General features: G+C 45.0%; 1 protein-coding gene across 18 annotated transcripts in view; it reads left to right on the forward strand.

Moving 5' to 3' along the window:
* The window catches only part of CNBD2 (cyclic nucleotide binding domain containing 2), a 76,315-nt gene that overhangs the window by 30,148 nt on the left and 19,117 nt on the right, over positions 1–27,050 (forward strand). For 15 of the 18 annotated variants that reach the window (XM_047439921.1, XM_047439922.1, XM_047439927.1 and 12 more), the window contains 5 exons: positions 94–245; positions 2,862–3,000; positions 10,505–10,619; positions 23,764–23,941; positions 26,604–26,724. In XM_047439921.1, the coding sequence (XP_047295877.1) occupies positions 94–245; positions 2,862–3,000; positions 10,505–10,619; positions 23,764–23,941; positions 26,604–26,724 (705 nt within the window). Of the gene's footprint in view, positions 1–93; positions 246–1,902; positions 2,840–2,861; positions 3,001–10,504; positions 10,620–23,763; positions 23,942–26,603; positions 26,725–27,050 lie in introns of those variants that run through there. The other 3 variants (NR_130714.2, XM_047439928.1, XM_047439929.1) reach the window with 3 other exon arrangements.

A 27,050-nucleotide genomic window follows, 5' to 3' on the forward strand; every position in this document is an offset into this window, starting at 1 on the left:
AGGGGGAAGATGGAGGCACGGAAGATGTGTGTAAGGCTGAGGACAGGAAGTGGAGGTGGCCTCACACTTGCCCTTGCCCTGTCCACCCAACAGGAAATGGACGTTCTGCATGCTTCAGTGAGGAGGTCCACCATCGTCTGTATGGAAGAAACGGAGTTCCTGGTTGTTGACCGGGAGGACTTCTTTGCTAATAAGCTGGACCAGGAAGTTCAGAAGGATGCTCAGTATCGGTTTGAATTTTTTAGGTAACTCTGCCTTCATTCAACATTTTTTTCCCCTTGTGTGTTTATTAGCTGCCTGACTTTGTCTGTCCTAGGCCTGGTGGGAAACATACTGGTTGCTGTTCTCTCTGTCTGGGATGCTCTGAAGTCCCACCTCGTACCCACCTTCTCTCTCTGCAGACTCCTACTATCCCTTCGGGTCTCAGCTCAAATATCCCTTCTTTATTGAAAGTAATAGTAAGAATAGCTAACACGGGACTGGGCACAGTGGCTCACTCCTGTAATCCCAGCACTTTAGGAGGCCAAGGTGGGAGGATCCCTGAACCCAGGAGTTCAAGACCAGCCTGGACAACATAGTGAAATCCTGTCCCTACAAAATAAAAAATTAAAAAAAATTAGCTGGGTGTGGTGGCACATACCTATAGTTTCAGCTACTTGGGAGGCTGAGGTGGGAGGATCACTTGGGCCCAGGAGTTCGAGGCTGTGGTGAGTTGTGATCGCATCACTGCACTCCAGCCTGGGCAACAGAGTGTGGTCCTAGTAGCTAGGACTGTAGGTGTGCTGCCACATCCAGCTAATTGTTCTATTATTTGTAGAGATGGAATCTTGTTATGTTGCCCAGGCTGGTCTTGAACTCCTGGTCTCAAGTGATCCTGCCACTTTGGCCTCCTAAAGTGCTGGGATTACAGACATGAGCCCCCATGCTCAGCCCAAACTATAAAACTATAATTCCTTTTTTTTTTTTTTTTGAGAGAGGGTCTTGCTCTGTTGCCCAGGCTGGAGTGCAGTGGCATGATCTCATCTCACTGCAACCTCCGCCTCCTGGGTTCAAGCAATTCTCCTGCCTCAGCCTCCCACATAGCTGGAATTACAGTCATACACCATCACTCCCAGCTAACTTTTTTGTATTTTTAGTAGAGATGGGGTTTCACTATGTTGGCCAGGGTGGTGTTGAACTCCTGGCCTCAAGTGATCTGACTACCTTGGCCTCCCAAAGTGCTGGGATTACAGGCGTAAGCCACTGCGCCTGGCCCAAACTATAATTCTTGATTGCATGGTAATTTCTTTACAGTTTATATACCCCCTCAGACAGTAAGCAGTATGGTGACAGAGACCAGATAGATCTGTCTTTGTCACTACTATAATCCTTATGTTGTCACACTGCCAGACACATGCAGGTGCTCAACAAATAAATATTGAGTAAGGTGAATAACAGGATATAAATAATTACAATCACATGTGAGTCAGAAAGTAAGCACCGTAACTGGGTATCATATTTAAAAGCAGAACTCATACATAGCAAAAGATTTTTGGTTTTTGAATACTTATGTGCATGAAAGGCCACGTAAGGATATGCAAGTGAAATCTCATTTAATTGCTCTTCAGTTATTTGCCTTTATGTAAAAGGAATAAAAATCCAATGAAGTATCTGCACTGGCCCTGAAAATTTGGGCTGTAGGGCTGCACAGCTACAGAGAAGTGTGATGGCCGAGGGGTCTGGTTCCTGTGGCTGGGGCTGAGAGAGGTAGCTTCATCCCCTGGAAAAGTGGGGATTTAGTCCTAAAGGGAGGAGCTGTTTTTTTTTTCCATACTGTGGAAAAATAGGTCTGGCTCCAATCTCAGCTCTTAGGTTACCAGCGATGTGACCCTAGATAGGTCACGCCATTTCTCTGTGTTTTAGCCTCCTGCTCTGTAAAATGGGGATAAGGATACCCTTCTCCCAAGGTCATGGTGAGGATGGAATGGAATGATCATGGGAAGTGTATGGCCCAGTGCTTGGTGCGTGGTAGGTACTTCTTCTATGGTGGCCCTACTTTTCTTCTGGTGTCTTCAGACCTTCGTCCCTGACATGGCACTGAGCGTGTTCACCTCTGGTGCCCTGACCTTAACTCAGTGCGCGCATTGAGGCCTGAGTCACCTTGAGTTAACCTGATTCAATGAACTCAGTCCACCTGAGTCAGTTAAGTTCTGAGCCCTTAACCTGTTGGAGGTGAGAAAATCTGAGATGATTGTTGGCAGCACTTGGAGCAGCATATGAAGGCAGGCAAGCCTGTGAACGTGGTGTTCAAGGTCAGGGGAAGGGGCAGTCACAGTGGGGTGGGTTCACCCACAGGGAGCAACAGGCAGAAAGAGTGGAGTCCAGACATGTCCCACTCTCCAGACCCAGAGCTGAGGATTTGAAGCCAACAGGCCAGGGGGACACAAGGGTTGGATGAGCTGCCCAAAGCAAAGGTAGGGCCAGAACCGCTAAGTTGGGGGACAGAGCAGCTGTGAGCTGGAGTGGGGACTAGCTTCATGAGCCACGGTGGGGAGGGATGGCAGGGCTGGAGGAGGAGAAGATTCTTGGAAGGAGGAGCAGAGGTGAGAAAAGCACAGAGGCTGGATCACCCAGGGGCATCTGAGCAGCAGTAAAGAGGGGAGCTTGGCTGGAGGGGAGGGCCTTGGGAAAAGGAGGAGGGAGCCAAGGTGATAGCAGGTAGGAGAATGGCTACAGGCAAGGCCAGGTAATTGGGCAGGTAGCAGCGAAATCTTCCACCCAGGCATCCTCCACAGGAGAAGAGTATGTGCCCTCTGCAGATTGCTAAGGTCTGGGCACCTTGTGTGATGGAGTTGATGAATTCTAACAGGCTCTTCCCACAGGAAGATGGAGCTGTTTGCATCATGGTCTGATGAGAAGCTCTGGCAGCTGGTAGCCATGGCGAAGATAGAGAGGTTCTCGTATGGGCAGCTGATCTCAAAAGATTTTGGAGAGTCACCCTTCATCATGTTTATCAGCAAGGTGAAAAGTCTGGGGGTTGGGATGAGGGTGAACCTCTGAGGAGCATGCCTAAGATCATGTCCTGTGACCTGATGGTCAGAGTTTGAGCCCTTTTCTGCAACCTGTGCAATTCACTTCCTTCTCAGAGTTTCCATGTCCCAGCTGTAAGAGGCCTGCCTCTCACAGAGCATGGCTAGAGACATTAGATATATGGCTATTGTGTTAGAAAGAGGACCAAGGGATTCTCCCGCCTTGAGCTCCTAAGCATGCTTATTTACATATAGATGCATATTTAAATTATGCATTTGGCTGTTGAATCTTAGTGATGCCAGATCACTTTTAAATTTATTTATTTATTTATTTATTTATTTTGAGACAAGAGTCTCGCTGTTGTCAGCCCAGGCTGGAGTGCAATGGCACAATCTTGGCTCACTGCAACCTCTGCCTCCTGGGTTTCAGCAATTCTTCTGCCTCACCCTCCTGAGTAGCTGAGATTACAGGTGCCTGCCACCATGCCCGGCTAATTTTTGTACTTTTAGTAGAGACGGGGTTTCACCATGTTGGACAGGCTGGTGTCGATCTCCTGACCTCAGGTGATCTGCCTGCCTCGGCCTCCCAAAGTGCTGGGATTACAGGCATGAGCCACCAGGCCCAGCCTATTTATTTTTGAGACAGAGTCTTGCTCACTCTGTGCCCCAAACTGGAGTGCAGTGACGAGATCTTGGCTCACTGCAACCTCTGCCTCCTGGGTTCAAGTGATTCTCCTGCCTCAGCCTCCAGAGTAGCTAGGACTATAGGTATGTGCCACCATGCCTGGCTAATTTTTTTTTGTATTTTTAGTAGAGATGGGGTTTCGTCATACTGGCCAGGCTGGTTTCAAACTCATGGCCTCAAGTGATCTGCCTGCCTCAGCCTCCCAAAGTGCTGGGATTACAGATGTTAGCCACCACACCCAACCTTAAATTATCTTTAAATTGTAAAAGTGATATGACCACATTAGGAAACTTTCTGGAAAAAGGGAAGAAATCATCCATAAACCCATCATCTCAGAGTAGAGTTTCAAAATGGAATTTCTTGGTATCATGATTTTGTTTTGTAAGGCAGACTTTATTCAAAGGGGCCATAGCCATAGGTATAGGGACCACTGCAATGGAGTCTTGCAGCCAGAGACAGAGATTGGACTCAACTCTCAGTATCGTAATTTTTATGGCTCCTGCAACAAATTGCATTCCAAAAGGAGAGCCCCACCTTATCTAGTGTCCAGGATGTACATTTTTGTTGGTGCCATCACAGCTCTGCCAGCCTTGCATGTCATTTTTTCAAAAGTTTTCTAGTTTAATAGGTCGCAATTGCTGCCATACTGAGGATTTGATATTTTTTCTGATTACTAGTGAGATTTATCATGTTTGTTTATGACCTACATTTTATCTTTTGCAAATTGCTTCACGTCCTTTGCCACCTTCTCTGTTGGTTGATAATGAAAAGAAAATCTCCCATTTCTCAAGTGCTTACTGTATGCCAGGTTCTATGTTTCACATGCTTCATCTCATTTTAGTCTCTATAGCCCGGAGGAGGTTAGTATTGTCATTATTCCCATTTTACAGAGGAGGAAACTGAGGCACAGTAAGGTGAAGTGGTTATCCAAGGTCACACAGCTGATGAAGTGCAGAGGCAGGGTTCAACCCAAGTCTCTCTGACTGCAAAGATATTTTCAAGAACTTGGATTTAGGATTTGGGCTGACCTTTCTGTCTGGTTCTTACAGATTAAGCCACCACAGGCATTTGTTGAGTTTTTGCCAAGGTCATGACACATTGGTCCAGGCTCTGGAGGGATACAAAGATGAAAAAGACTGGTTTTCTCTCTTTATAGATCTCCTCCACCAGATTCCACACATAGACAAAGAAAAGTGTCAATGCCAAGTACCAAGTGATTGGTGCAAACTCTGCAAGTTACAAGATTTCAGGAGAGGGAACTCTCTAAAGGCTGGAGGCTTTAAGAAGGGCTTCCTGGAGGAGGTGAGGTGGGAGATGAGCCCTGACATATTGAACCATTAGGCAAAAGGAGGAAGCAAGATTGGTTGTGTGCTGGCACTGGCTTGTACCTGCCTATGAGAGCTGATTGTTAAATTTTCAGGAATTTTGGTAAACATAGTAATTATTACAAATTAGATGCTATAAACCTACAATTAAATAAGTTATATGGAAAATTAGGAGCTGGGCATGGTGGCTGATGCCCATAGTCTTAACGACTCAGGAGACTCATGCAGGAAGATCATTTGAGCCCAGGAGTTTGAAAGCAGCCTGGGCAACATAGCAAGACCCTATCTCTAAGAAAGAAAGACAGATGAGAGAGGGAGAGAGAGAGAGAGAGAGAGAGAAGAGGGGAGGGGAGGGGAGGGGGAAGAAAGGAAGGAAAGAAGAAAGGAAGGAAGGAGCAAGCAAGAGAGAGAAGGAAAGAAAGAAAACAAGGGTAATACATACTGAAAACTCATCATTTCCTACTGATGTTACTGCATTTTTACTAGTTTTTCTCTTCAGGTTACGTCTATTGTGTCTCTATGGTAGAAATACTATGCAATTGTGAGCATCTCTTCCCCACTCCACATTCAGTGACCTCATGTTGGTAGCTTACAATTAGCCATGGTTGGATAATTTATACAATGGAATCAGCAAACACCCTAAGTCAGGTCTTGGTTTAGGGCTTTGCTGATTGTCTTAGGAAAGTGATAAAAGAAAATGCTTATAATGCAGATTAAATTTAAAAGTGGCTTGGGTCTATAGCTGCTACACTGCAAAGAGAATGAAATCGTCTAACAATATTTAAAAGCTATTATTGCTCCGGGCGCCGTGGCTCACACCTGTAATCCTAGCACTTTGGAAGGCTGAGATGGATGGATCACTTGAGGTCAGGAGTTCGAGACTAGCCTGGCCAACATGGTGAAACCTCATGTCTACTAAAAATATAAAAATTAGCTGGACATGGTGGCGCATGCCTAATCCCAGCTACTTGGAGGCTGAGGCAGGAGAATTGCTTGAACCTAGGAGGTGGAGGTTGCAGTGAGCCAATATCTCACCACTGCACTCCAGCCTGGGCAACAGAATGAGACTCCATCTCAAAAAAATAAAATAAATAAAAACAAATAAAAGCTATTATCTGGCTGGGTACAGTGGCTCACGCCTGTAATCTCAACACTTTGGGAGGCCGAGGCGGGTGGATCACTTGAGGCCAGGGGTTTGAGACCAGCCTGGCCAACATGGTAAAACCCCATCTCTACTAAAAATACAAAAACTAGCCAGGCGTGGTGGTGTGCACCTATAGTCCCAGCTACTCAGGAGGCTGAGGCAGGAGAATCACTTAAACCTGGGAGGTGAAGGTTGCAGTGAGCTGAGATCATGCCACTGCTCTCCAGCCTGGGTGACAGAGTCTCAAAAAAAATTAATTTAAAAAAAAAGCTATTATCTCATTCATCATAGAAGTTATACCATTGAACAAATGAAGTTCTGATGTACATAGTGCTAAAGCTAAAAAACATTTCAGTTTAATATAATTTATGTGAGGGTGAGAAATAGAACAGTATATCACAAGTCAGATTTAATAACATTGAATTTATTGGGAAGAGAATGGATTGGGATGCAACTTCATTTGTCCAATCATGTTTGAGTTGCAACTATAAACTGGCCATGGATACAAGATTCAGCCAAAACCCACAAAAGAATTCTGTGAGAGCTGATTGGCTGTATGGAATTTCCTGTATGGTATATTTTATTATTTATAAATTGTGTGTAACACATTCTGTATAACAGGTTTATATGCAGGCATATGTTTTTTAGGAGAGCTGGTTGTTAAACTTACCAGCACCACCAGGGGCGTGGTGTGTGTGTTGTTATTCTCGGCTCAGTCCCAGAGAACAGAATCAAGTCTAGTTAATATAAGTAGCAAAAGATTTATTGCCAGATATCAATTGGCAGTTCCTTCTCCTCCTTGATATTTGCTTCCTCTGTGCTAAAATTTTGAGGTGATCACCTCTGCCATATCTCTCCAAATTTAACTCTAAGCTCTTTGATACTATATAGCCAGAAAAGATGGGGGGATGTGTGGTGAGGGATAGAAATCCTTTACAATATTTTCTTTAATCAGCATAATGATTACATTCTGACTGGCAGAAAGCGGGGGGTGGTTCTTCATCTGTTTTGCCTCCATTGCTTCACCTGTGAAATGGTACCAATCACCCCATAAAGTCTGGTAAGGATGAGAATCAGTTTAGTACATGCTTACTCAGTGAGCATTCCTCCCGCAATCCAGTGCTTCTCAAAGTGCGGTGGCTGGACCAGCAGCACCAGCAGCACTTGGGAACTCATTTCTTCTTCTTTTATTTTTTTTTTTTGAGATGGAGTTTCATTCCTGTCGCCCAGGCTGGAGTGCAATGGCACGATCTTGGCTCACTGCAACCTCCACCTCCTGGGTTCAAGTGATTCTCCTGCCTCAGCCTCCTGAGTAGCTGGGATTACAGGTGCCCGCCACCAGGCCTGGCTAATTTTTGTATTTTTAGTAGAGATGGGATTTCACCATGTTGGCCAGGCTGGTCTCAAACTCCTGACCTCAGGTGTTCCACCCTCCTCGGCCTCCCAAAGTGCTGGGATTACAGGCATGAACCACCGCGCCTGGCGGGGAACTCATTTCAAAATGCAAATTCTCAGGCCCACCCAAGAGCTACTCAATCCAAAACTCTAGGAGGAAGGGCTCAGTGATCTGTGTTTTAACAAGGCTTCCAGGCGATTCCAATGCACACTGATGTAGGAGAACCCCTGACCTAAGGGAGGAATTTTCAAATTTTGGTAAGCATCCAGACATGTAGGGTGCTTCCTGAGGGAGGAATTCTCAAACTTTGGTAAGCATACAAACACATAGGGTGCTTTTTAAAAAGGCAGATTTGCTGTCTCACCCCAGAGATTGATTCATTAACTCTGGAATCTGCATTTGAGCAAGTGCTGTAGGGGATTCTAATGCAGGGGTGCTGAGCCTTCATTCTGAGAAAAATAATGCGGAAGTCACTAAAGGACAGCAAGGTAGGGAGCTCTTGGCCAGAAGATGAATCTGGTTTGTTCCTTACAGTGTTTTATTAAAATCTGATTTAATCATCAATGTGAAGATTTTATATAAAAATTCTGATTTCTGGCTTTTGAGAATTCAGAGGATCAGGCAACAACAAGCCATATTTTGGTACAGCACCCCCTCCCCCACCCCCCGACCCTGGTTGGAAATGAAAAGCACCAGCCCCCTCTAAAGGACTGCTCTTTTCTCTCTTTTTTTTTCCTGCCTGGCCAGCGTTTTTTGAGTGTTCATCTCTGGGAGGGAGATCAAGCTGTCCCGACTCCTGTAGTTTACTCATATTACCACTAGAGGGCAAAATCAGCTGCGGGTGGCTGGACACCCCTGGGACCTCAGAAAGCTAGAGAAGATTTCCTGATGGCATCGAAAACTTAATGCACACTTTCAACTCATTTCTAACAGTTTATCACTGGGGGACACATAGTGGAACTGTTCTCTCCATAGATGCAATTAAAGACCTACTAAATACTTGAGGAAACCGGGCTCATGTTGTTTCTCTGGCACCTGCAGTTCCCCTATAGCTCAAAAAAAAGAAAAAAAAAAGTATGCAGTAAAGATTTCAAATCTAAACTTTACAGCTTCATAAATTTTTATATATGTATACACCTGAGTGATCATTACCCAAATCAAGATAAAAAACATTTCCACTACTCCAGAAGGCTCTCCTGTGCTCCTTCCTAGACAAAATCCCCCCACAAAGCTTAATACTCTTAAGACTTATGTCACCACAGGTTACTTTTGCATGTTTTTGAACTTCATATAAATGGAATCATACAGTGTGTATTCCTTGTTTCTGACTTCTTTTGCTCAACTGAATATTTGTTATTTTTAATTTTATAAATTATGGTGTGCATAGAATAATATGTGACCATTAAACATGATACTATAGAACCATATTGTTTGGCATGAAAAGAGGTATTTGATATATTATTGAGTTTCTTAAAAAGTTACAAGAGTCTGTTTTATGTAAATGAATTCGTTGATGAAAAATTGTAGATATACATCTTATATGTTCATAGAGAAAAGTTTGAAATAATATTCACTAATATGTTACTACTAGTTATTTCTGAGTGTCAGGATTAATGTAGTTTTTATCTCTATGTTTTTATGTCTGGTTTGAATATTTTTAAACTTTCAATTTTGGAATAATTTTAAATTTATAAAAAAATTATAAGAACAGTACAAAGAACTCCTGTAGCTGGAACTACAGGCATGCACCACCATGCCCAGCTAATTCAGCTAATCTTTTTTTTTTTTTTTTTTTTTTTGGAGACAGAATTTCACTCTTCTTGCCCAGGCTGGAGTGCAATGGCATGATCTTGGCTCATGGCAACCTCCGCCTCCTGGGTTCAAGTGATTCGATTCTCCTGCCTCAGCCTCCTGAGTAGCTGGGATTACAGGCATGCGCCACCATGCCCGGCTAATTTTGTTTTTTTTTGTTTGTTTGTTTTGTTTTGTTTGAGCCAGAGTTTTGCTCTTGTTGCCCAGGCTGCAGTGCAATGATGCGATCTTGGCTCACTGCAACCTCTGCCTCCTGGGTTCAAGCGATTCTCCTGCCTCAGCCTCCCGAATAGCTGGGATTACAGGCATGTGCCACCACACCCGGCTAATTTTGTATTTTTAGTAGGGACGGGGTTTATCCATATTGGTCAGGCTGGTCTCGAACTCCCGACCTCAGGTGATCTGCCTGCCTCAGCCTCCCAAAGTGCTAGGATTACAGGCGTGAGCCACAAGGCCGGCTTAATTTTTGTATTTTTAGTAGAGACAAAATAATTTTGTGTTGCCATGTTGGCCAGGCTGGTCTTGAACTCCTGGGCTCAAGTGATCTTCCCACATCAGCCTCCCAAAGTGCTGGGATTACAGTCCGTGAGCCACCGTGCCTGGCTTATATTTAGTTCTTATGCTTCTTCAGTTACTTGAACTTCGTATGGTGAGTAAATAACATTTTCATTTAAAAAAAAAAAAAGAAAAAAAAAAAGCACCAGGCTGGGCGTGGTGGCTCACACCTGTAATCCCAGCACTTTGGGAGGTCGAGGCAGGCAGATTGCTTGAGGTCAGGAGTTCGAGACCAGCCTGGCCAACATGGTGAAACCCCGTCTCTACTAAAAATACAAAAATTAGCCGGGCATGGTGGCACATGTCTATAATCCCAGCTACTCAGGAGGCTGAGGCAGGAGAATCGCTTGAACTCAGGAGGCAGAGGTTGCAGTGAGCCGAGATTGCCCCATTGCTCTCCAGCGTGGGTGACAAAGTGAGACTCCATCTCAAAAAAAAGAAAAAAGAACCTGAAACCACTTGCATTAAGCAAATAAAACAAAATGGGATAAGATGCAATTAAGAGAGATTTTCTTCAAAGCCTGGCCTACCTGGAGCCTTAGGGGTTAACCCTTTTCCTATGTCCCTTGCTGTGTTCAGGGCAGCTGTGAAGTCCTGCGGCTGTTGGACCTTGGGGCCTCCCCTTCCTACCGTAGATGGATCTGGCAGCACCTGGAGCTGATAGATGGCAGACCTCTGAAGACCCACCTGAGTGGTAAGCTGCCTTGGCCTGTCTGACAGCAGGGGGCGCCTGGGCCTGTCCTGTTTCCAGTTCCCAGCACATAGAGCCTTAGAAATCTAGTCAGCCAGCCTGACAGCGTATATCATCTGCACCCTTCTACCAGCGGTGGAAACCCAGTCTGCAAGGCCCTGCCCTCCTTTCCAGCCTTTTTTTTTTATTGAGCCTTTTCCCTTTTGCTGTTTAGGTTCTCCCACGTGACCATCAACTCCTTGCCTCACATATCCCCCACCCTTTTTTTCACCCAGCTCTCTTCTGCTTTTTAAAATTTATTTATTTATTTGTTCATTCTGTCTCTGGATTTGCCTGTGATGGACTTTTCATATAAATAGCATCATACATTATTTGGCTTTTTGCATCTGACTTCCTTCACTGAGCACCATGTTTTCAAGGTCTATTTATGTTGTAGCAGATATCATTTCTTCATTCTGTTTTATGGCTGAATAATATTCTAATGTATGCATATACCACATTTTTTTTGTCCACTTATCAGTTGGTGAACATTTGGATTGTTTTCACTTTTTGGCTGTTTTGAATAATGTTGCTATGAACATTTGTATGCAAGTTTTTGTGTGAACATATTTTTCAGTTCTCTTGGGTATTACCTATATGCCTAGGAGTGGAATTTCTGGGTCATATGGTATCTTAGTCAGTTTTCTATTTCTATAACTGAATATCTGAGACTGGGTAACTTATAAAGAAAAGAAATTTATTTCTTATAGTTCTGGAGGCTAGGGAATCTGAGGTCGAGGGGCTGCATCTGGTGAAGGACTTCTTGCTGGTGGGGACTCTTCAGAGTCCCGGGGCAGCAAAGGGCATCACATGGAGAGGGAGCACTTCTGTCTTTGAGATCTTAGACTACACATTCTTCCTTGAAGAAGTCTTCCTGGTTTCTCATGCTGGACCAGATCTTCCATCCTCTGCTATATGCCATTCTAGTACCCTTCAAGTACCATTCAAGTACTCTTCTGTGTTATATAACCCCACTGAAATCATACAACTGAGTCTGAAATGCTTATTAAACATCTGTTTCCCTTGCTAGAATATAAGCTCTATGAAGGCTTTGCATTCCCAGGGCTTCGTATTATGCCTGGCATCTAGCAGGTGCTCAGAAGTGAATTACAGAGTTAATGGATAAACATATTTTGGCTGCTGTGTGTGGTTTGGACACATCCTAGGCTGTGAATGTATGCGCACTCTCCACAGCCTTATCCCAACTCAGTAACAAGTATGAATAACAGTGATCATTTATTGAATTCTAATTGTATGTTTATTATATTGGGCTTGACTGTTTATACATATTGCATAATTCTCATAATAGCTCTCTTTTTGTTTTTTTTTTTTTTTTGGAGACAGAGTCTCACTCTGTTGCCCAGGCTGGAGTGCAGTGGTGCAGTCTCAGCTCACTGCAACCTCTGCCTCCCAGGTTCAGGCAATTCTCCTGCCTCAGCATCCCGAGCAGCTGGGATTACGGGCACATGCCACCATGCCCGGCCAATTTTTGTTTTTTTAGTACAGATGGGATTTCACTGTGTTGGCCAGGCTGGTCTCGAACTCCTGACCTTAAGTGATCCGACTGCCTCGGCCTCCCAGAGTGTTGGGATTACAGGCATGAGCCACCGCACCTGGCCTAATAACTCTTTAAGAAGGTACGATTGTACCATCTGACACATGAGGAAACTGGCTCATAGGGCAAATAAGTAGCAATGTAGGACTGTAGAGTTGGGATTCTAACCCAGGCACAACTGGTTCCAAAGCCCAGACTTTCTTCTCTTCATAAATATCTCCAGCCTTCTTCATTCTCCATTTCCTGTTGTTGGACATAGACGTTGTCAAGTAGCAGCCTCTAGAACTGGCCAGGGTGATAACCAGGCTTGCTGATTCTAGGGTAGTATTGTTTCCATTCACAGCTCTGTAATGGCATTTTTATTTATTTTTTTCCCCTTCCATCCTCTGCAGATCTTTTTGTGTCACCCACTTGGGTCAAGGACCCCAGCCCTCAACAGATATTTGCAGTGGCTCAGATGTCTTATCTCTTACCTCCTGCTCAGTACTGGCATGCTTCCCCCCACTTCCCTTGAGATTGTAATCTGTGTATCCTGGGGCCTCCTCCCCAAGGATTGCCTTATAGATATAGCAGTCCTCCTGAGATTAGAACTGAGGCCAACACAGGGTGGCGAGGAGAAGGGCGGAAAAAGGAGAGGTTGGAGCTGAACAGAGCTGGGTTTGAGTCCCATTTATTAGCTGGGTAGCTTTGGTGAGTACTCAAAGTCTCTGGGCCTGGTTTCTTCATATCTACCTTGGGTAGTGTCATGGTTAGCAGCATAGGCTTGGAGTCCACTGCTTCTGTTTGAATACAGGGTCCTTCTCTTATTAGTGATGTGATACTGGGCAAGTGGGCCCTATGTCTAAGTGCACCAGTGCCCTCAGAGTCTGTAAAATGTAAATAATGGTCCGTACCTCGTAGGATTGTAATGACATTAAGCAAATTAATATATAAAAACTCTTAGAACACTACCTGGCTGCATAGGCAGATGGCAGATGTTTGTTATCATTACCACAACAGGCTGCTAGGAAGGCAGAGTGAGATGATGTATGCATGAGGCCTTATAAGTACTCAGTAAATGTTTCTTCTCATGTCAATTCTTGTTTGTCACTTTTCCACTGTCAATCCACCAGAGAAAAAGTTGCATCCCACAAATTTTGATATGTTGTATTTTCAATGTTATTCAGTTCAAAATACCTTTAAATTTCTCTTTTGATTTCTTCTTTGACCCATGGAATATTTAGAAGAGTGTTTAGTTTCCAAGCATTTGGGGGATTATCCACCTATCTTTCTGTTACTGATTTCTTTTTTCTTTTTCTTTTTTTTTTTTTTTTTTTGAGAGGGAGTCTCGCTCTGTCACCCAGGCTGGAGTGCAGTGGTACAATCTCAGCTCACTTCATCCTCCACCCCCCAGGTTCGAGCAATTCTCCTGCCTCAGCCTCCCGAGTAGCTGGGATTACAGGCATGCACCACCAAACCCAGCTAATTTTTGTATTTTAGTAGAGATGGGGTTTCAGCATGTTGGCCAGGCTGGGCTTGAACTCCTGACCTCTGGTGATCTGCCTGCCTCGGCCTCCCAAAGTGCTGGGATTATAGGCGTGAGCCACCACGCCTGGCCTCTGTTATTGAATTCTAAGATAACATACTTTATATGATTTGAATCCTCTGAAATGTATTAAAACTTGTTTTATGGTCCAGAATATAGTCTGTCTTGGTAAATGTTTCATTTGCATTTGAAAAAAACTTGCTGTTTTGGGGTGCAGTGTTCTATGAATGTTAAGTAGGTGAAGTTGGTTGATAGTATTGGTCAAGTCATCTGTACCCTTATAACTTTCTGTCTACTTGCTCTATCAATTGTTAATAGAGGCTGGCGTGGTGGTTCACGCGTGTAATCCCAGCACTTTGGGAGGCCAAGGCGGGCAGATCACCTGAGGTCAGGAGTTCGAGACCAGCCTGGCCAACATATAGTGAAACCCTGTCTCTACCAAAATAATACAAAAATTAGCTGGGCATGGTGGCGCATGCCTGTAGTCCCAGCTACTTGGGAAGCTGAGGCAGGAGAATTGCTTGAACCCGGGAGGCAGAGGTTGCAGTAAGCCAAGATCACGCCACTGCACTCCAGTCCGAGCGACAGAGCAAGACTGTGTCTCTCAAAAAAAAAAAAAAAAAAAAAAAAAATTCTTAATAGAGTTGTTAAAATCTCCAGCCATAATTATAGATATATTTTTCTCCTTGTATTTCTGTCTGTTTTGCCTCATATATTTTGAAGCTCTTTTATTATATGCATAGATGTTTGGGATTGAACTCTTAATTATTATGAAATGAACTTATTTGTCCCTGGTAATATTCTTTGCTCTAAAACCTACTTTTTCTGATGTAAATTCAGCCACTTCTTTTGATTTAGTGTAGCTTCCTCTTGATTAGTATTAGTTTGGTATATCTTTTTCCATCCTTTTGTGTTTAACCTATTTGTGTCTTTATATGTAAAAGTGAATTTCTTAAAGGCAGCATATAATTGGATCTTGCTGAAAGACCCAATTTTTATTGAGATGCCTAATCATTGACATTTAATGTTAATATTGATTATGGTTGGATTTGACTCTACCATCTTGCTATTTTTCTTTCTATTTGTCACATCTATTCCCTTTTTCTTCTGTTTTTCCCTGCCTTTTGGATTATGTATTTTGTATAATTCAATCTTATTTTCTTTGTTGGCTTATTAGCTGTTTGTGGTATTATTTTCACAGTTGCTTTATGATCATTGTATATACTTTTAACTTATCACAGTCTACCTTTAAGTGATATTATACCACTTCATGTATAGAATCAGAATCTTACAATGATATATTTCCATTTTCTCCTCCTAGATATTATGCTATTGTGATATATTATACTTTAATGTATATTAAAAACCTTACCATACATGGTTATTACTTTTGCTTTAAACAAGTATCTTCTTTTTTTTTTTTTTTGAGACGGAGTTTTGCTCCTGTTGCCCAGGCTGGAGTGCAATGGCACGATCTCGGCTCACTGCAACCTCCACCTCCTGGGTTCAAGTGATTCTTCTGCCTCAGCCTCCCTAGTAGCTGGGATTATAGGTGCCTGCCACCATGCCCAGCTAATTTTGTGTATTTTTAGTAGAGACAGGGTTTCACTATGTTGGCCAGGCTGGTCTTGAACTCCTGACCTCAGGAAATCCACCTGCCTCAGCCTCCCAAAGTGCTGGGATTACAGGCATCAGCCACCATACCCAGCTTAAACAAGTATCTTTTTTGTATATTTAAAAAATAATAAGAAAAGACTCTTATGTTAACCTACATAGTTACTATTTCTGATGTTCTTTGTTCCTTTGTATAGATCCAGATTTCTACCTAATAACCACTTCCTTCTGCCTGAAGTACTTCCTTTAACATTTCTTGTATTTCAGCTCTGTTAGTGATGAATTATTTCAGCTTTTCTATGTCTGAAAACTATTTTATCTTCATTTTTGAAAGAAATTTTTGCTGGATATAAAATTCTAAGTTGACAGGTTTTTTCTTTCACTACTTTAAAGATGTTGCATTAAAGTCTTTTTTGACTTGCATTGTTTTCAGCAAATCCGTTCATATTTTTATTTATTGTTTTCAACAAGAAGTCCGTTAACATTTTATTTATTTATTTATTTATATTTTTGAGACAGAGTCTCACTCTGTTACGCAGGCTGGAGTGCAATAGTGTAATCTCGGCTCACTGCAACCTCTACCTCCCTGGTTCAAGCGATTACCCTGCCTCAGCCTCCTGAATAGCCGGGACTACAGGCATATGCTACCATACTTGGCTAATTTTTGTATTTGTTGTTGTTGTTGTTGGTTTCTGAGATGGAGTCTTGCTCTTGTCACCCAGGCTGGAGTGCAATGGCACAACCTCGGCTAGCTGCAACTTCCGCCTCCCAGTTTCAAGTATTCTTGTGCCTCAGCCTCACGAGTAGCTGGGATTATAGGCGTCCACCACCACGCCTGGCTAATTTTTTTTTTTTTCATTTGTGTATGAAATTTTTTTTTTTTTTTTTTTTGATCATTCTTGGGTGTTTCTCGCAGAGGGGGATTTGGCAGGGTCATAGGACAATAGTGGAGGGAAGGTCAGCAGATAAGTGAACAAAGGTCTCTGGTTTTCCTAGGCAGAGGACCCTGCGGCCTTCCGCAGTGTTTGTGTCCCTGGGTATTTGAGATTAGGGAGTGGTGATGACTCTTAACGAGCATGCTGCCTTCAAGCATCTGTTTAACAAAGCACATCTTGCACCGCCCTTAATCCATTTAACCCTGAGTGGACACAGCACATGTTTCAGAGAGCACAGGGTTGGGGGTAAGGTCACAGATCAACAGGATAAGAATTTTTCTTAGTACAGAACAAAATGAAAAGACTCCCATGTCTACCTCTTTCTACACAGACACGGCAACCATCCGATTTCTCAATGTTTTCCCCACCTTTCCCCCCTTTCTATTCCACAAAACCGCCATTGTCATCATGGCCCGTTCTCAATGAGCTGTTGGGTACACCTCCCAGACGGGGTGGTGGCCGGGCAGAGGGGCTCCTCACTTCCCAGTAGGGGCGGCCGGGCAGAGGCGCCCCTCACCTCCTGGGCGGGGCGGCTGGCAGGGTGGGGGGCTGACCCCCCCACCTCCCTCCCGGACAGGGCGGCTGGCCGGGCAGAGGGGCTCCTCACTTCCCAGTAGGGGCGGCCGGGCAGAGGCGCCCCTCACCTCCCAGACGGGGCGGCTGGCCGGGCGGGGGGCTGACCCCCCCACCTCCCTCCCGGACGGGGCGGCCGGCTGGGCGGAGACGCTCCTCACTTCCCAGACGGGGTGGCTGCCGGGCGGAGGGGCTCCTCACTTCTCAGACGGGGCGGCTGCCAGGCGGAGGGGCTCCTCACTTCTCAGATGGGGCGGTTGCCAGGCGGAGGGTCTCCTCACTTCTCAGACGGGGCGGCCGGGCAGAGACGCTCCTCACCTCCCAGACGGGGTCGCGGCCGGGTAGAGGCGCTCCTCACATCCCAGACGGGGTGGCGGGGCAGAGGCGCTCCCCACATCTCAGACGATGGGCGGCCGGGCAGAGACGCTCCTCACTTCGTAGATGGGATGGCGGCCGGGAAGAGGCGCTCCTCACTTCCTAGATGGGATGGCGGCCGGGCAGAGACGCTCCTCACTTCCCAGACTGGGCAGCCAGGCAGAGGGGCTCCTCACGTCCCAGACGATGGGCGGCCAGGCAGAGACGCTCCTCACTTCCCAGACGGGGTGGCGGCCGGGCAGAGGCTGCACTCTCGGCACTTTGGGAGGCCAAGGCAGGCGGCTGGGTGGTGGAGGTTGTAGTGAGCTGAGATCACGCCACTGCACTCCAGCCTGGGCACCATTGAGCACTGAGTGAGCCGGACTCCGTCTGCAATCCCGGCACCTCGGGAGGCCAAGGCTGGCGGATCACTCGCGGTTAGGAGCTGGAGACCAGCCCGGCCAACACAGCGAAACCCCGTCTCCACCAAAAAAATACGAAAACCAGTCAGGCGTGGCGGTGCGCGCCTGCAATCGCAGGCACTTGGCAGGCTGAGGCAGGAGAATCAGGCAGGGAGGTTGCAGTGAGCCGAGATGGCAGCAGTACAGTCCAGCTTCGGCTGGGCAGCAGAGGGAAACCGTGGAAAGAGGGAGAGGGAGAGGGAGACCGTGGGGAGAGGGAGACGGAGAAGGAGAGGGAGAGGGAGAGCCTAATTTTTGTATTTTTAGTAGAGATGGGGTTTCGCCATGTTGGCCAGGCTGGTCTCAAACACCTGACCTCAAGTGATCCACCTGCCTTGGCTTCCCAAAGTGCTGGGATTACAGGCATAAGCCACTGCACCTGGCCAACATTTTTATTTTTGTATAAACTCTTTATATAACCTTGTATATTTTCTGTACACAGTGTACCTTTTTGCTTTGGCTGATTTTGAATTTTTTTATCAATAGTTTTAAGCAATTTGATTATGTTGTGCCTTGGTATAATTTTTGTCATGTTTCTGTGCTTGAGGTTCATTTAGTTTCTGGGATTCCTGGGTTTGTATTTTTAAAATCTGATTTGGAATATTTTGACCATGATTTTTTCAAAAAAATTATTTGTCTCTCCCTCTCCTCCACTTTGAGAACTCCAATTACATGTATATTGGATTGCTTACAATCCAATATATTATTGGATTGCAACATGTATATTGGATTGCTGTGTTTCACAGCTCACTGATGTTCTGTTCATTTTTTTTATTCTTTTTTTTTTCCTCTGTGACATTTTGGATAGTTTCTATTGCTATGTCTTCAAGTTTTCTAATCCTCCTTCTGCATTGTCTAATCTGCTGTTAATCCCACCTAGTGTACTTTTCATTTTAGACATTTTAGTTTTTATATCTCAAAGTTTGATTTGGGTCTTTTTATAATTTCCACAACTCTACTTAATATACACAATATTTTTTCCTTGGAATATAATTATAATAGCTCTTCCAATGCCCTTATGTACTAATTCCATCATATGTGTCATTTCTGAGTCAGTTTCAATCCATTGTTTCCTTTTCATATAGTTTATATTTTCCTACTTCTTTGTATCCTTCATGATTTTTTAATAGGATGCTAGAAAATGTGAATTTTGAGTACTGCATATTTTTTATTCCTGTAAATATTTCTGAACGTTAAGATGTAGTTACTTGGAAGTATTTTGATCTTTTCAAGGCTTGCTTTTAAATTTGTTATGTGGGGTCAGAACAGTGTTTAATCTAGAGCTAGTTTCCCATTCGTGAAGTAAAACCATTTTGTGTATTTCAGAATGCCCCATGACTTGAGAGGTTTTCTATTCTAGTTATTGGGAAAAGGACTATTTCTGGTCCTGTTTGAGCTCTGATGATTTATCCCTCTAATCATTTGGGGTGATTCTTTCCCCAGCCTTGGGTAGTATACTATGTAACAAATTGCCCCAAAACTTAGCAACTTAAAATAACAGACATTTACTTCTCCCAATTTCTGTGAGTCAGAAATTTGGGCACAGCTTAGTTTGGTGCTTCTGACTCAAGACCTCTTATGAACCAGCTACTTGGGAGGCTGAGGCAGGAGGATCATTTGAGTCCAGGAATTCAAGACCAGCTTGGAAAACATAGCTGGACTCCATCTGAAAAAAAAAAAAAAATCTCTTGAGGTTGCCATTGTCAGCCAGGGTTGTGGTCTCATCTGAAGGCTCATCTGGGAGGGACCTGCTTCCAGGCTAACTCACGTGGCTATTGGCCAAGTGTCTGGCCTCATGGGTGTCTCTACAGGGCAGTTTCATGACATGTTTCCCCAAGAATGAGAGAGAGCAACAGAGAACATGCCCAAGATGGAAGCCACAGTTTTTTTATAACCTAATGTCAGAAATAAAATCTCATCACTTCTGCTGTATCCTGTTAGACGTGAGCCCAACCCACACTTAATGGGAGGGTATTACACAAGTGTGTGACTAGTAGGAGGTGGGGTTCACTGGTGGCCATCTCAGAGGCTGCCTACCACTGGTAGTTTCCCAATACACATGTGCTGATTAATACTCAGCTGAGCTTCAGGGGAAACTCTCTGCAGATCTTTGGAGTTCTGTCTCTATGCAGCTCTCTTCTCTCTGGTTCCCTGCTCTGTGGACTCTAGCTGCCTTGCCCTCCCCTGACTATGTCTTCTGTCTCATCAATTCAAGGAGATTGCTGGGCTCCATCTGAGTTCCCCCTCCCTGCACCATGGCCCAGAAAATCTTTAGGCAGCATGCTGGGGCAGTAGTAGGGCTCACCTCATTTGTTTTCTGTCTTGCATCATGGATGATTGTCCTTTATTGCCTGATATTCAATGTCTTTTTTTTTTTTTGAGACAGGGTCTCACTCTGTCACCTAGGCTGGAGTGCAGTGACCTGTTCATAGCTAATTGCAGCCTGGACCTCCTGGGCTCAAGCAGTCCTCTCGCCTCTCCTGAGTAGCTGGGACTATAGGCATGAGCCACCACACCCACCTAATTTTTTATCTTTTTGTAGAGATAGAGTCTCACTATGTTGCTCAGGCTGGTCTTGAACTCCTGGCCTCAAGGGATCTTCCCACCTCAGCCTCCCAAAGTGCTGAGATTACAGGCATGAGCCACCGCATCTATCCTTCAATGTCTTTAAAACAATTTTTTCCATAAATGTTGTCCAATATTTTCAAGTAGAAGAGAAAATTTAGTCCCTGTTATTCCATCTTGGCTGGAAGCAAAAGCAGAAGTCTAGATCTATGTTTTTAATAGTTGAGTTTTATTCTATTATATGCATATATCATAATTAATTTAATTACCTTTTACAGATATTTTGAATTCTTTTTCAAATGTTTACCCTACTGTGGCAGATTTCCTGGTGTGTTTGTCTTTGCATCTGTGTGCAAGGAAACGTATTAGACAAATTCTGAGAATTACTGGATCAAATAGTTCAGCGGTCCCCAAACTTTTTGGCACCAGAGGCTGGTTTCGTGGAAGACAATTTTTTCACAGATGGGGGCAGGTGGTAACGCTTTTGGAATGAAACTGTTCCACCTCTGATCATCAGGCATTAGATGGAGCACACAACCTAGATGCCTCTCATGCACAGTTCTCAATAGGGTTTGTGCTCCTATGAGACTCTAATGCCGCCACTGATCTGACAGGAGGTGGAGCTCAGGTGATAATGCTCATGCACCTGCCACTCATCTCCTGCTGTACAGCCTCATTCCTAACAGGCCACGGACCTGTACCAGTCCATGGCCAGGGGATTGGGGACCCCTGAAATAGTTAATCCAGTGCATACTGACTACATACATTTAAAACATTGGTAGATGTTGTTGAAGTGCCTTTCCGAAAGATCAAACTCAGGGCTTTTTATATGTGTTTTGTTAAGCCAGACCTACTGCTTGTGGAACTTGGATTTATTCCCATTAACATTAATTTGAGGGGCCGGGCATGGTGGCTCACACCTGTAATCCCAGCACTTTGGGAGGCCGAGGTAGACGGATCACGAGGTCAGGAGATCGAGATCATCCTGGCTAACACGGTGAAACGCTGTCTCTAATAAAAATACAGAAAAATTAGCCGGGCATGGTGGCGGGCGCCTGTAGTCCCAGCTACTTGGGAGGCTGAGGCAGGAGAATGGTGTGAACTTGGGAGGTGGAGCTTGCAGTGAGCCGAGATCAAGCCACTACACTCCAGCCTAGGTGACAGAGCAATACTCCATCTCAAAAACAAAAAAACAAAAACAAAACAAAACAAACAAAAGACATTAATTTGAAGAGTTGATTCTCATACTAGAGATTTTTTTTTTCTTTTTTTTTTTGAGATAGAGTCTTGCCCTGTCACCCAGGCTGGAGTGCAGTGGCACGATCTTGGCTCCCTGCAACCTCTGCCTCCCAGGTTCAAGCAATTCTCTTGCCTCAGCCTCTGGAGTAGCTGGGATTACAGGCATGCACCACCATGCCCAGCTAATTTTTTGTATCTTTAGTAGAGATGGGGTTTCACCATGTTGGCCAGGCTGGTCTCGAACTCCTGACCTCTTGATCTGCCCGCCTCGGCCTCCCAAAGTGCTGGGATTATAGGCATGAGCCACCACACCCGGCTGGAGATCTCTTTTTTAATCAATGTTCTTGACGTATAATTTTTATATAATAGAGTGCACATATTTTATGTGTATAGTTAAATGACAAATTAGAAAAAAAATTCTTTTTGAGACAAGGTTTCACTTTGTCACCCAGTCTGGAGTGCAGTGGCATGAACATGGCTCAATACAACCTTGACCTCCCAGACTCAAGTAATCCTACCACTTTAGCCTCCTGAGTAGCTGGGACTACAGTCACATGCCACCACACCCTGCTAATTTTTGTATGTTTTGTAGAGACGGGGGTTTGCCATGTTGCCCAGACTGGTCTCGAACTCCTGAGCTCAAGCGATCCTCCTGCCTTGGCCTTCCAAAGCGTGGGATTACAGTGGCGTGAGCCACTGCGCCTGGCCATAGTTCCATGACAAATTTATACCTCTACAATCAAGTTATAGAACATTTCCATCACCCCACAAAGTTCCCTTGTGCCGCCTCCCAGTCAATCTCTACCCCTCACCCTTGCCCTAGGCAACCACTGATTTGTTTTCTATCATTATAGGTTAGATTTGTCTTCCTATGGTTTCATATAAATGAGATCATACAGGCCAGGCATGGTGGCTCATGCCTGTAATCCTAGCACTCTGGGAGGCCGAGGCAGGTGGCTCATGAGGTCAGGAGATTGAGACAATCCTGACTAACATGGTGAAACCCTGTCTCTACTAAAAATACAGAAAATTAGCTGGGCGTGGTGGTGGGCGCCTGTAGTCCCAGCTACTCAGGAGGCTGAGACAGGAGAATGGCATGAACCTGGGAGGTGGAGCTTGCAGTGAGCAGAGATCGCACCACTGCACTTCAGCCTGGGCGACAGAGTGAGAATCCTCTCAAAAATAAATAAATAAATAAATAAATAAATAAGATCATACAGTATGGACTCTTGTTTCTGGCTTCTTTTACTTAGCATGCTGAGTAGTTTGCTCCTTTTTATTTCTGAATTATATTTCCTTCGAGTTTTTTTAAATTTCATTTTAAGAGATGAGGTCTTTCTATGTTGCCCAGGCTGAAGTTGAGCTCCTAGGCTCAAGCAATCCTCCTACCTCAGCCTCCTGAGTAGCTAGGACTCAGGTGTGCACCACTGCAACTGGCTCTTGGTGATCTTTTTAAATAACTCTCATGGAGGGCCTATTATATGTCGGTGCTGTGCTAGGCATATCACATACTTTATCTGCAATTCTTTTTTTTGAGGCAAAGTCTTACTGTTGCCCAGACTGCACACAGTGTTGTAAACACAGCTCACTACAGCCTCAACTTCCTGGGCTCATGCAATCCTTCCATCTCAGTGTCCCCAGTTGCTAGAGCTACAGGTGTGCACCAGCATGCCTGGCTAATTCTTTAATTTATTGTAGAGATGAGGTCTTGCCATGTTGCCTAGGCTGGTCTTGAACTCCTGGGCTCAAGTGATCCTCTACTTTGATCTCCCAAAGTGCTGGGATTACAAATGTGAACTACCATGCACAGCCTGTAATTCTTACAATAGTTCTATGAGAGGGCTCTGATGCTTATATGACTTGTCCAAAGTTCCATGACCAGTCATCCATTTATCTCTTATTGCTGACTCTGCCCCAATTTGAAAGCCCAGTTTGAAGGCCGGGATAAATATGGTCTGTTAATGGAATGAATCCAAGAGACCTGAGTTCAAATCCAAGCTTTAACCTTTTTCTGGGTGACTTGAGCTCTCTGCTGTTCATCTTATCTCTTAAAGTGTGTTAATCACCCTTCTCCAGATGTAATAGATGTAAAGGCTCTAGCGCAGGGCCTGCCACCCAGGGACATTACATGGAGGCCACAGTGTTTTATCTTTCTTTTTTTTTTAAAAAATTTCCCCATGTGCTAGACCATCCAGGCAGGTTCCTGTGATAAGCTTCAACTACTACCACCATAACCATCATATATGCAAAGATCCATAAGTATCTTTTCCTGTGCTTTCTCTAACAGAATACTCTCCTATGGAAAGATTTAAGGAATTCCAGATCAAATCATATCCTCTGCAAGACTTTAGCTCCTTGAAACTTCCACATCTCAAAAAAGCCTGGGGGCTACAGGGGACAAGCTTCAGCAGGAAGATCAGAACCTCAGGAGACACTCTCCCCAAGATGCTGGGCCCGAAGATCCAGTAAGCTCAGCCCTGGGCAGATAGACGGGTCCAGATTGTGGTTGCAAAGGGAGATAATACTTATATGGCAGAATGTCAGGGATGCGGATAAGGGGCAAAGGTGGAGGACACAGGTCAATCCCAAAGGATTGTGCATGAGGCAACCTAGAGATGTCCTGGGTCTGAGAGCCAGGACCTGCATTCTCCACCTGTAACTCACAAGGCTACGTCAGGCATTCAGCCACTTCTTTTCTCAGGGCCTCAGTAACCCATTTAAGGAAGAAGGGGCTGGACATATCTTCTGGCTCTGACATTCTGTCAGTCTGTGTGTTTCTGGGCCCTTTTGATTCTGAGCTGCTTCAGAAAATTCTGTCCATCTAAGGAAGGCAGTTACAGCATAGTAGATAAGAGCCTGTGTTTGGAATTAAGCCTGGCTTGGCCACTTATTTTAGCTCTTATTTTAGAGGTCAAGGGACTTGACCTCTCTAAGCTGTATTTCTTGGTAGATAATAGCATCTAACTCTTGGGGTTGTTGCAAGCCAGCAATTAAATGAGATAATGATAATTATAGTTAACACTTACAGAGTATTTTTTGTAGCTGGGCATAGTGGCACATACCTGTAATCCTAGCTACTCAGGAGGCTGACACAGGAGGGTCGCTTGAGCCTAGGAAGTTGAGGCTGCATGCAGTGAGCTGTGATCATGTCACTGTACCCCAGCCTGGGCAACAGAGCAAGATCTTGTCTCTCTCTTTTTTTTTTTTTTTGAGATGGAGTCTTGCACTGTTGCCCAGGCTGGAGTGCAGTGGCGCGATCTCTGCTCACTGTAAGCTCCGCCTCCCGGGTTCACGCCATTTTCCTGCCTCAGCCTCCCGAGTAGCTGGGACTACAGGCACCTGCCACTGTGTCTGGCTAATTTTTTTGTATTTTTAGTAGAGACGAGGTTTCACCGTATTAGCCAGGATGGTCTCGGTCTCCTGACCTCGTGATCCGCCCACCTCGGCCTCCCAAAGTGCTGGGATTACAGGCATGAGCCACCACGCCCAACCGACCCTATCTCTTAAAAAAAGAAGAAAAAGAAAAAGAAAAAGGAAACAGGCTGGGCATGGTGGCTTATGCCTGTAATCCCAACACTTTGGGCGGCTGAAGCGGGCGGATTGCCTGAGGTCAGGAGTTCGTGACCAGCCTGGCCAACATGGTGAAACCCCGTCTCTACTAAAAATACAAAAATTAGCTGGGTGTGGTGGCGGATGCCTGTAGTTCCAGCTACTTGGGAGGCTGAGGCACAAGAATCGCTTGAACCCAAGAGGCGGAGGTTGCAGTGAGCTGAGATCACGCCACTGTACTTCAGCCTGTGCAACAGAGCGAGACTGCATCTCAAAAACAAAACAAAACCCCTTTTCTGTGCCCAGTACTGAATTATCTAATTTAATCTCTGTAACAACTCTACGAGTACTATTATAATCATTCCCATTTTTCAGGTGAGAAAACCAAGGTACGGGGAGAGATTGAGTTGTTTGTTCCAGGTTGCGCAGGTAGAAAGTGGCAGAGCCAGGATTCAAACCTGAGCAGCTCAGTGTTGTTATCGGTATGATTGTCACGACTGGTATGAGGCAGATGCACATTGGGGTGCTGTGCTTTTGTTTTTTCTGGAGAGACTGAAGAGCAGAAGAGGAGACTCAGTGGGGACCAGCCTAGAATCAGCTCATTGCTGGGCCCAGAGCAGCACAGCCCCCTCCCCCTGCTACTTTTGAAATTGAAGTGTCATAATGAGACTAACAATGGCACCAGTGTCACAATCCCTGCATTCCTACAAGGGCCACTTCACGTGAGTCCTTTGCCTGTTAACATTTCCAAGCTCCTGGCCTCCATAACGAGCACCCTGTGACTTTTGAGACGTTATGGATAATCCTTCTGAAGAATCTAGGTTGCAGTGAGCCAAGATTGTGCCACTGCACTCCAGCCTGGGCGACAAGAGCAAAACTCTGTCTCAAAAAAAAAAAAAAAAAAGAAAAGAAAAGAAATTCCTTCCTCTTGGCTGGGCGCAGTGGCTTACGCCTATAATCCCAGCACTCTGGGAGGCCAAAGCGGGTGGATCACTTGAGGCCAGGAGTTTGAGACCAGCCTGGGCAACATTGTGAAACCCTGTCTCTGCTAAAAATTAGCTGGGCATGGTGGTGGGTGCCTGTAGTCCCTGCTACTTGGGAGGCTGAGGCATGAGTATCACTTGAACTCCAGAAGTGGAGGTTGCAGTGAGCAGAGATCCCATCAGTGCACTCGAGCCTGGCGACAGAGTGAGACTCCGTCTCAAAGAAAAAAAAGAAAAAAAAAAAGAAAGAAATTCCTTCCTCATGCTGAGCATGAGAGGGCCAGCCTGGACTTCCCACCCATTAGGCCTGGCTTGGCTGCATGGGATCATCAGCCCCTGCCTCCAGGAGAACAGCCCTCAGGTGTTTAAGGGGAGGGCCTGTATCACCTTCCTCTCCCAAGTCTCCTCTTTCGCACCCTCCAATTCCTGACAATGGGAGTCAGGGCTTGATTTTGAGTTTTCTCGCCTTCTGGGAAGTTGTGAATTCCCCAGGGAGGGGAGCCCTCCATGTGCAGAAGAGTGAGGGCTGATTAGCCAGGGCCTCAGGAGCAGACTGTGTTACAGATGAGCTCTCTAACAAGCTGTCACATTTCAGATCCAGGCCTGCTCAGTCGATCAAATGTGCCATGATCAATATCAAGCCTGGTGAGCTCCCCAAGGAGGCTGCAGTGGGGGCCTACGTGAAGGTGCACACTGTGGAGCAGGGAGAAATTTTGGTGAGTGTGCCAAGAGCTCTGTTCACCATGGAGTACGTAACATGAATGGGCTGGAATGTTAAGTAATGACAGTAAAGGTTTAAAAACACTTCCCTCCATATTTGATATTAAGGAATTATGTTGATTTGTAAAGATGTGATAAGAATAGGCCGGGCGCGGTGGCTCACACCTGTAATCCCAGCACTATGAGAGGCCGAGGTGGGCAGATCACAAGGTCAGGAGTTTGAGACCAGCCTGACCAACATGGTGAAACCCTGTCTCTACTAAAAATACAAAAATTAGCTGGGCATGGTGGTGTACGCCTGTAATCCCAGCTGAATCCAGGA

Source organism: Homo sapiens, chromosome 20, assembly GCF_000001405.40.
Source record: "Homo sapiens chromosome 20, GRCh38.p14 Primary Assembly".
NCBI classification, from domain to species: Eukaryota; Metazoa; Chordata; class Mammalia; order Primates; family Hominidae; genus Homo; species Homo sapiens.